Source organism: Homo sapiens, chromosome 20, assembly GCF_000001405.40.
Source record: "Homo sapiens chromosome 20, GRCh38.p14 Primary Assembly".
NCBI classification, from domain to species: domain Eukaryota; kingdom Metazoa; phylum Chordata; class Mammalia; order Primates; family Hominidae; genus Homo; species Homo sapiens.
In genome coordinates, this window is record NC_000020.11 from 62692382 (window position 1) to 62703263 (window position 10882).

Sequence of the window (10882 nt, forward strand, 5' to 3'; positions counted from 1 at the left end):
GCACCAGATTCCCCTCCAGAGGACATGCTTGTGAAACAGAAGTGGCATTTGGAAAGGATTACAGAGCCAGACTCTGGGATGTGAGGGCTGCTCAGGATGTGGACAGCAAGATTCTTCATTTGGCGATATCCGGCAGCCTCAGCCCTTTTCAAAAGAAAAATAAAATAACAGGCCAACAGGTCTTCTCTCTTAGCCATCAAACCCATTACATATGGGCATATATTTAATATATCATGTATGACTCGTGTGTGTGTGTGTGTGTGTGTGTGTGTGTGTGTGTGTGTGTGTAGAGGAAGAGGGAGGGAGGGAGGCCGGGCAGGCAGGAACAGGGTGGGTATCAACAGGGGCAATGCGTGTAACAGGATTCAGAGCAATGCAGGCATGTGGCATGCACCAGACTCCAGCCCCATGCCCATGTGTGCGTGCACAGGCCGAGCATGTGTCATTTATGAACATGAGAGAGAAGGTGTGATTTCGGCAGGTCCTGTGGGTTTGCAGGGCGGGTCTGTATTCTAACTGCTCATTTCTACCAGAACACGTTTTCCTTAATTTAATGCTCCTTTTTTCCCTCCAATGATATTTTTAAAAACCAGATTGCAGAGCCTTGCTGGTTGCTAAAAGAGATTCCAACCAGCCGGTGCCCTCCTGTGCCAACGTTTTTGGGTCCCTGCAGAAGCGCATGGCCGGAGGCACAGGAATCCCGCAGGCCCCGCCCCAGGCTTCCCAGGACTGTGACCAAAAGGGGGTCCACACTGTCCCTAGTCCTGGAGGAGTCACCCCCAAGGTACCCTCAGGGACACCCGTGAGCAGGGGCGAGAGCCACTCGGGCTGACACCTGCTGCATGTGGAGCCCCTGGAGAAGGTGGTGGCTTCCTCCATACCCTGTGGCTGGTGACAGTGAGAATAAGTTCCCGTTGTCTTAAACCACGCAGTCCACCAACAGCAGTCGCAGGGGAAGCCGCTGCTATGCCCACTCTGGCCGAATGCCAGCCTGTGCTGCCCGAGACACCCCTCCCATCGGCCTGAATATGTGGAACATGTCTGCGTCTGGCCCCCCCTTGGCCAAGAGTCCCTTAAAATCTGTGGGCTCTTCTATCTCCTCATCTCATTGTTCCCTGAAGGACTGGGGGTGTTTCTGCCAGTGAATGCCTCCTGGCAGGCTCCCCAGGAGCCACCGTCTCAGCTCCGGTTCCCCAGAAGCAGCCCCTCGGGTAAGTGTCCCCAAGGCCGAGATGAAGTCCCAGGGTTAAGTGCCGGATGCAGCCACGCCTCAGCCAGGCCCCCAGGGAGCAAGGTGCAGCTCAGAAGCTGTCCCACCTCCAGGGACCGGGTGGTCCTGCAGCACGCTCTGCCCCGGGGGTGCAGCACCTGGCTGATCTCCACTGTGCTCTGGGTTGAGCAAGGCAGCTCTCAGGACAGTCCCCGAAGGTCCTGGCTGGAGCTAGGCTCAAGATGTCCCTGCCCCAGTCCTTGATCCTGTAAAGTGCAAGTTTGATCAAGGTACAGACCTCAAGGTGGGAAGGTCTGAGAAGATATGGGAAAAAAACAAATTGTTCTTCCTACCCTCACAGCACTGAACACAGCACTCCCAACCCGGAGAGTGGTGATTTTTTCCCAACACCAAGCAGTTCTCCAGCAGATGCCAGCTGGTGTCCTTCAATTCAATTCTGACACTGTCCACCTAGAGATGGCGTCAGACCCCATAGAGTGAGGGCTGAGTCCCACAGGGCTGCCCCCACTTCCAAAGTCAACTGCAAGCCTCAGGGGCTTCTGTCCACACAGCTATAAACCAGGTCCCGTGAGCCCCTCCCCAGGCTGGAGTGATTTGCTGCAGCAGCACCCAGGACGTAGGGACACAGGCTCACCGGTTTATTATGAAGGACATTGCAGGAGACACAGATGACCAGCAGGTGGATACCTGGGGGAGGTCCGGGAGGCCCCGGGTGCAGGAGCCTCTGTCCCTCTGCAGTGGGGGCCGCCCTCCTGGCAGGCAGACGTGTCCTGCAACCCCAAAGCTCATCTGCACTGAGTCCTTCTTGGGACTCATGGAGGCTTCAACACACAGGCATGATCGACTACGTCATTGACCATCGGTGATCAACTCAACCTTCAACCCCTTTTTTTTTCCCGAAGATCAGAGGTTGGGGCAGAACCTTCTAATCATGTGGTTGGTTCCTGTGGCCACCAGCCCCCATCCTGAAGCTGTGCAGGAGCCCCCCAGAGCCACCACATCAGCTCGAAAAATGCTCCTATCACCCCAGAAATTCCAAGGGATTGAGAAGCCCTGGGTGGACGCAGCTATTCCTCGGGAAATCGCAAAGGCTATAGGAGTTCATTGTTAGGAACTGGGGCCAAAGACCAAGTATCAGAACAAAAGATTCTCCTAGCACCCCTATTGGTCAAGAAACTACAAGGGCTATCGTCGCTCTATGTCAGAGACCATTTAAATGCGTATTTATTCTTATATCACAACATGGCAGAAGCTGATCCTGGATGATCTGGGTGGGCCAATTCGATCACAAGTCCTCCACAGCAGAGAAGCGCCTCTGCCTGGCATCAGATGCAGTGGCGAAGTGTGGTGCTGGCACCAAGCCTCAGGGCCGGGAGGGACGGGGCATTCCCACAGAAATCAACAGTAGGATCCAGCCCTGAGCTTCTCAAGCGGGGCGTTATTCACACCACGCCCCTGATGCGTCCGTCTGCCGTCTGCACCTGCACCTGCACCTGCACCTGCTCTGCGTCCTGGGTGAGCTCCAGGCTGAGGCACCTTGGGTGGGCTTTCTGGCTGTCCTGCAGGCTCACTCTGGATTTGAGCAGGAACCTGTGGGCAACGTGGACCGTGCTCTCTTCCTGCTGTGAAGCTGCGGGCATTCCAGGGCCTCCTTGAGCAACGGCAAAATCAGAGAAATAAGGACATGGCCTCTCAAGGCGTTTCCTTTGATAGAAAATGTCCGTTTTCCATGCTGAATTTCTGGAAGCTTTTGGTTAAGCTGCAGATTCACTTTCCCAGAGGCACACATGTGCCTATCACCTTGTAAGTCCATCCCACACACGTTTACCAGACCACCCTATTGCCTCGTTAATCTTCCCTCGTCCACCTGGCAAGGCAGCCAGCATGGTCTTCACCATACCATATTCCAGGCACTGAGACTTGGAGGGGCCACGTTCCCTACCCAAGGCCCTGGTCAGAAGGGCCTTGAATCCCTGGGTCAAACCCCCACCTCTCTGCACCAGCTGTGAGGCGGGGACAGCGTCCTCCAGGGCCCCCAGGAGGCTCCGGATGGGCAGCATTTACTCCCATCAAGGCTTGTCCAGAGCGGGAGGGCCGCAGTCTATCCTGCGGCTGGGCGAGGAGAGGGTGGCTTGGGAGGTCCGCATTCGGAAAGCAATTCTAAGGGAGATGGCCACTCTCAGTTGTCATTGCATTCTCTAGACACACACACGCAGCAACACACACACACACAAACGGGGCCACGTGCAGATGCAGCAACGTCTACGTGGGGCAACACAAAGAGGACAACAGGAACACTTGGGAACACACAAGTACACAAATGAGGCAATGTGCAAATGGAGCAACACGCACACTTATAAATACGGTAATTCCCAACATTTGGCAACATGTCGTTGCAGCAACGCACACTGGCCTGTGCTTACGGCAGGCCTCCACCCGCCTGTCTGTCAAAAGACTACACATTGGAACATGTCATCTAACAATGCTGCAGCATCTCACCCGGCAATCGTTTGAGGGGAAGCGCTGGCTTCCAGCGCCTCTTACATGGATGGTGCAGGTGAGGCTGTAGAGTGCGCCTGTGTAGTGGGGCTGTGCAGTGGGGCTGAGGAGTGCACCCGTGCAGTGTGCCTGTGGAGTGAGGCTGTGGAGTGCACTCATGCAATGGGGCTGTGGAGTGCGCCCAGGCAGTGGGGCTGTGCAGCGAGGCTGTGGAGTGCACCCGTGCAGTGGGGCTGTGCAGTGGGGCTGTGGAGTGACATGGTTAGGTTTTGTGTCCCCACCCAAATCTTATCTTGAATTACAATCCCCACAATCCCCATGTGCCAAGTGAGAGACCAGGTGGAGGTGACTGGATCCTGGGGGCGGTCACCCCCATGCTGTTCTCATGATTTTCTCACAAGATCTGGTGGTTTGATAAGGAACTCTTCCCCCTTCATTCAGCACGTCTCCTTGCTGCGGCCTTGTGAGGCACGTCCTCGCGTCCATTCGCCTTCCGCCACGATTGTAAATTACCTGAGGCCCCCCAGTCATGCGGAACCGTGTCTATTAAACCACTTTTCCTTACCCATTATCCAGCCTCAGGCAGGTGTTTGTGGCAGTGTGAAAACAGACGAATACATGCGGTGAGGCTGTGCGGTACAGCTGTAGAGTGAGGATGTGGAGTGAGTGCGGAGTGGGTGTGGGGTGTGGGGTGGGGTGTGGGGTGGGGTGTGGGGTGGGGTGTGGAGTGGGTGTGGGGTGGGGGGTGGGGTGGGGGGTGGGGTGGGGTGTGGGTGGGGTGTGGGGTGGGGTGTGGGGTGGGGTGTGGAGTGGGGCCGTGGACTGCAGCTGTGCTATGCACAGCTATGCAGTGAGGCTTCTGGAATTGGTTGTGGTGCTCAAGTTTTTAACTGGCCTGCGTGTACTTTAATGTCCAAACATGACCTGCCCTTTCTGGGGTTTGCCTTAAGTGTCACTGAGGGGAAGAGAAACTGACCGATGGTGCAGCGAACGGTTCTCCTTTCCCTGAGAAAGTCCTGGCCACTTCTCTCCTCACGGGAGGCGGCCTCTGAGCCCTGGCCTGTCCTGCCTGATAAGACAGTCCTGGTTACCTGTGGACCTTGGGCCAGGCTGGATGGTCTGTGCTATTGATGGGATTTGTGGTGGGCATTTTGGGCCACATGGTGTCAGCTGCACCTCTGGAGGGATCAGAGACCAAGCTGCCACACGTGGTCGCTTGGCAGAGCCCGTGGGACTGAGCCCCAGCAAAGCCCTGAACCCCAAGGCAGGCCATCGGCTCGGGGAGAAGCAAGTGCTGTCAGGCCGCCCAGTGGGGAGAGCAGCAGCCCATGCCTGGACCCTCCTGGACTCTGCCAGTTCCCTTCACCGATTCTAGCCGGTGCCCCTTCGCTCTAATGAACGTCAACTGTGAGCACAGCAGGTCTGTGGCACTGCGTGAGCCTTCTGGAGAATCGCGGAGTCTAAGGGTGGTTTGGGGACACCAGAGCTGCAGGGGGTAAGGCAGTGATTGAAGGAAAAATAGAACTCGTCTGATTTGTTCCCCTAGGGATTCAGGCTATTTAATGAGCCAAATAGTCATAAACCATGTTTGGGGACTGTACAGATAATAGTCTTCTAGTGACTGGCAAAGCCTGCTGCCTGCAGTGCCGGGTGTGGAGGCTTTTGGTCCCTGGTCCTACCACAATGGGCTCTTTATTCCAATAGCTTCTTTCCTCACCCGGCAAAGGGGCTGGGCTGCTGCGGGATGAATGCCTGGCCAGTGGTGGGGACATGTCTTACAGGCAGCACAGAACACACCTGAGAGGATAAAAGCTCATGTGGTCTCAGCACCTGCCGATGGAGTCGGGGGGTGAGAGAGAATAAGAACACCCGAAAAAATCAGGGAGCTGGGGACAGGGACTGGTGTCTAGAACAAGGAGGAGCAATCTCTCATTCCCTATCTAGAAAGCACAGTGGGAGGAGGTGCTCGGGGCCCAGCACCTGTGTATGCTATTTTTAGAAAAGTTTTACATTCAATTATCCACGTCAAGCTCAACATAATTCATTATCTGAAAAGAAAATGAGCAACAGTTAAGCATCCCGGCCCGTGGTCTGGGCTTCTTCTCCCAGAGAAGTCCTCTGAGACCAGGCTAAGCTGGTGGGGGTTGAAAGAGCAGGTTCTGAAGACTTAGAAGTGCGGGGGTTGGGGGGTGATTGAGTGGAGAGGGAGAGCTGGGCCCAGCCTTCGGGGAGCACGGGGTCCAACCGGCAAGGCGCTGGGTACAACACTGGGTACAGCGAAGGGCTCCTTCCTGGTCCCGCAGCCTGAGGAGAGGCGCCTGGTGACTTTATATGGGGAGGGGGAGCAGCCACGGAGGGGCCCCGAGGGGAGACCCCACACTCTGTCCTTCAGAGGCCTGCCCGAGAGGCTGACCTCTCTCCTGGGCTTGGCTGCTCTGCTCTGTCGGGCCCTGGATCGGATGCCCGTGCCCTGGTCTTCTGCCCACTGGACTCAGTTTCCCCTGACAGGAGAGCAGGGTATCAGGGCCTGCCCTCCAGGTATCCTCATCCCCTAGGAGGTGAATAAATGATGGAGGTGTCCCCTAAATTCACAGATGACTATCCCAGGACATCGGGGCACATGGCAAAAACCCAAGTCAAACAGCTCAAGAGAATAAAGGTTCCATGGGACTGAAAGTCCAGGGGGCAGCAGGGGCTGGCCAGGGCCTCAAATGGTGTCCTCAGGAAGTCCAGGGGACAGCAGGGCTGGCCAGGGCCTCAAATGGTGTCCTCAGGAAGCCCAGGGGGCAGCAGGGCTGGCCAGGGCCTCAAATGGTGTCCTCAGGAAGTCCAGGGGACAGCAGGTGCTGTCCAGGGCCTCACATGGTGTCCTCAGGAAGTCCAGGGGGCAGCAGGGGCTGGCCAGGGCCTCAAATGGTGTCCTCAGGAACCTGCAGGCTCCATTTGACTCCAGGAATGGGCCCAGGAGGGTGGGGGTCCCAGGAGGGCAGGAGTCCCGGGAAGGCTTGGGGTCCAGATCCAGAGAGGGCTCTGTAATCAAATGCAGCCTGTGGCTCCTCCAAGGTCCTGCACTGGAATCGCAGCCCCCCCAGGCAAAGATGTGAGAGGTGGGGCCTTTGGGAGGGGATTTGGTGGTGAAGGTGGGGCCCTCATGAATGGGATTAGTGCCCTTACACAAGAGTCCCCAAGGAGCTCCCTCACCCCTCCCACCGCAGGAGGACGCGGCAAGAAAGCGCCCTCCGTGAGCCAGGAAGCAGGCCCTCCACAGACCCTGAACCTTCCCTTGATCTTGGCCTTGCAACTCCCAGGCTGTGAGAAGGGATTTCTGTTGTTCAGGAGCTCCGCCCAGCCTCTGGTGTTGTGTGTCAGCACCCCGAGTGGACCGGGACAGGCTCCCAAGTGGACTGAGACAGGCTCCCGAGTGGACCGGGACAGGCTCCCGAGTGGACTGGAGACAGGCTCCCAAGTGGACCGGGAAAGGCTCCCGAGTGGACCGGGACAGGCTCCCGAGTGGACCGGGACAGGCTCCCTCTCTCTTGCTGCTGGGATGTCTCCCCGGGAGCTTGCGTCTCTCGCCACCCTCACCTCCCAGCCAGAGGGAAGCCAGGAAGCCAGGGAGATGCGGCCTGACCGGCAAGGGTGCCCTCTCTCCACACCCCCGGCCAGAACTTACTCTGTGGCATGTCTAGCTGCAGGGGAAGTGGGAGATGGAGCCCTTAGCTGAGACTTGGGGTGAAAGGGAGGGAGGATCCACAGGCGGCTGTGGACCGGCCCTGGCTGTGTCCGTGGCTCACGGGAGCCCAGACTTGCTGTGTGGACTGGGCTTGGGGTCCCCAGGCTGGCCAGGCCCATGCTGGCACCTCTGTGGACCCTCTGCTCTCTCTGAGGATCATGGAGGGAGTGGGCCACCCTCGGTGAGCCGGGCACCTGCCCTCAGCCCCTCTTGCCCCCGGAGTTCCTTGCCCCTTGGCATGGCCTCACGTTGTTAAAGAAAGCGTCTCAAACGGGCCTTTGCAGCTCCAAGGCAAGAATGACAAAGGAGGAACGGTTTCAAGGTTTTGCTTCTGGAACTCCCAGGAAGCAACTACAAAATGGAAGACATTTTTCCTATTTCAATATTTCTAAGCAGGGAGGACTCCTGACTGCAGATAAAGGCATACGCTTTGGATCTCTGGAGACGCAGAAATCATGTTTATGCAAACTCCATCCTTAGCCCAAGGAGGAAAGAAGCCTAGAAGACAGGGAAGAGATGCCCGCGCCACGGCGCCCAGTCCTACCTTTCCCAGAGGGCAGCCTGGTGGAGCCACGTGGAAGGAAGGGCGGGCATGACAAGACCCTCAGCTTCCTGCTCCAACTCCAACCCTGCCTCACGCGTCTCCTCATCCCCTCCAGGCTCGGGGGCCGGGCTGCTGAGCCTTCAAGAGAATGCAAGAGCCACCCGTCCCTTCTCTCGTGACAATAAATGGGAGACTAATATTAGCCAAATGCAACCCTTTTAGCTTTACATCGCCTGGTATGCTCACAAGCACGCCTGGAAAGTTCATCACAAATTGGTGCATTCATAAGAGCCATAAGCCCGCAGCTTCTGGGTGAGAGCAGACAAAATGCTACTTCTTTTTTGCAGATGGAACAGATGGGCTGGCTTGGCCCTCTGCATTGCGTGTGTTGCCTGTATGTTGTCTTTTCCCAAAAGCAAATTGCAAAAAGAAAATGGCTTTCTGCTGGGGGCCCAGCAATTAGGAACCCTCCTTCCAGCAGAAGGAGGCAGAGAGGAGGGTATAGGTGGGGCCAGGGAGGGCAATGAGAAGAAAAGGGAATGGGCTTAGGGGGCTGGGGGCTGCTATTCATCAGTTTCAAACCTTCTGGTCCAGAGAAATCGGTGGGAACATCACAGGAAATTCTAAGGGACACGCTCTGTGTCCATCGGCCTGAGGTGCGTGTCATAGCAAGCCCTTCCCAGGAATAATTTCTAGGAAACTGGGCTGCATTGAAACATGTCTTGGAAATGGATCTTCTTTCCTCAGAAGATGATCTACCTCATTCCCTGTTTCCTCCAAAACATCAGCTTTCTTTGTGTGTCTCTTGGCTGATTTCTTTAAAGTTGCTGATGGGTTTCACGATCCAAGGTGACTCCAGGCCTTCTCTGCTTCACCCTTCCACACAGTTCTCCTCAGCAGGCCTGGAAAGGCGCACGGCGAGATTGCTGGGTGGACAGGAGTCAGGCCTGTGCTTCTGCGAGGAGTCAAGTCAGAGCTGTGGCAACGAGTGCCCCTCCTTCCTCTCCCCCCACCACCCCATGCCTGCTGTCTCAGGCAGGGTCCCAGAGCCACCAGCCCTGACCCGGGACGCAGGTTGAATGAGCAGCATCTTCCACCAGCTCCAGGAATAAAACTCCATGTCACAGGCACAGAGGTCCAGGAGGGAGCCGCGTCCCTAACCCCGCTGTCTTCTGGCCTCTGGCCACACACTGGCCCAACCCCCTCCTGCCTGCCACCCTTCCTGCTCACACACCACATTCCAGGACTCAGTGAACATGTCCTCCTTGGACAAGTCTTCCCAAACTGCCCCACCTCTGCCAGTTCCCCCAGACATCCAGTGCCCTCCTCGTGAACGTGCTTGCTGTAGCAGCCCTGCCTGTCACCTGGCACGGAGGCACCCAGTGGGCTGGGCAGGTAGGAGTCCCAAGAGCCAGCAAGGCGCCAGCAGGGACGTCAGGGTGCAGGGCAGGGACGTCGGGGTGCAGGGCAGGGACGTCAGGGTGCAGGGCACTACAGTGCAGGATGCCAGGGTGCAGGGAGCCGGGATGCAGGGCGCCAGTCCTTGCCCCTGTTCACAGTCCAGCAAGCTGGGGAGGGACGTGGAGCTTCGTGGGCAAGGTTTCTCCCTAACTGTGCCTCCCGCTGCTCCACATGGAGAGCCGCTCTCCGGGCCCGGTCTCCTGGACACCCACCTCCAGGTGCAGAGCAGCTGCAGCCACCTGGACTGTGGCCTCTGCATGCTCTGTCCTCATCCCGGGCTGGCCTGTCCTAAGAGGCCCCGTCTGTCCTTACTCCCCGAAGCACAGCTTGAGACACCAGAGCTGGACAGGAGGGGAGTGGTCTCCGAGCCGTGTGGAGCCGGGCTCTAGTCCTGAGCGCCTTCTGCTTGGAGATGAAGGCCAGGACGGGTGCAGCCAGGGTGGGCAGAGGGAGCCTGGGGGACCCTGGGCCCTTCATGCTGTCTTGGAGGGGAGAGGTCTGGTGCCAGGGTGGGCAGAGGGAGCCTGGGGGACCCTGGGCCCTTCGTGCTGTCTTGGAGGGGAGAGGTCTGGTGCACGGCAGGGACTGGGCCCCAGCAGCCTCTTCCCACCTCCCCAGCCCACTTCAGCCATCCTTCATTCACTCACCATTCAGCCAGGCTCTCTGGACACGGCCAGTGTGGGATGCTCACAGCTGGCCTGCTGTGAGGACAGCACTGCGGCTCCCTGTGTGTCCAATGTGCCAGACCCTCTCAGGCTGCCATCACTCTGGTTCTCCTTCTGCCTCTCTCTTCCACATTTAAGGAACTTTGTGACTCCTCTGGGCCCAGGACAGCCCAGCACAGCCTCCCCATTTCATGGCTGATGAGCTGCCTTAATTGCCTGCCCCCTAATCCCCTTTGGCAGGCACCCCAACAAATTCACAGGTTCTGGGGAGTCTGGCATGAACATCCTTGGGGTCCTTACTCTGCCCACCATGTGGGCTGCCCCATCTCATCCACACCCATGAATGTGAGGCACAATTAACATCCCCGTACTTCAGATGAGGAAACTGAAGCTCAGGGTCACCTAAGGTCGCTCACTTTGGAGGTGGCAGAGCCAAGATTTGAAGCCCCTGGGTCGGACTGCAGATCCCGAGCCCTCTGCCTGGTCGGGTGGAGCAGAGTCTCATTCACATTGAGAAACCAACTGCAAGCAGGAGGAGACGTTCCCCGGAGCTGCAGCCAGGAGACCGCTCTGTGCGTCTAAGCAGAGAGAACACAAAGCATGGCGGGGCAGGCAGAGGACGCCCTCCTCCCTCCCCGCTGGGCACAGCCTTCTTTGCCAGGTGCATGCCAGCCCTGGGGAGAGGAGACAGAGCCTCTTGCGGGGTCTCAGAGCAAGGACAGGAGATGAGCCTGGGAAGGCCTGCTTCT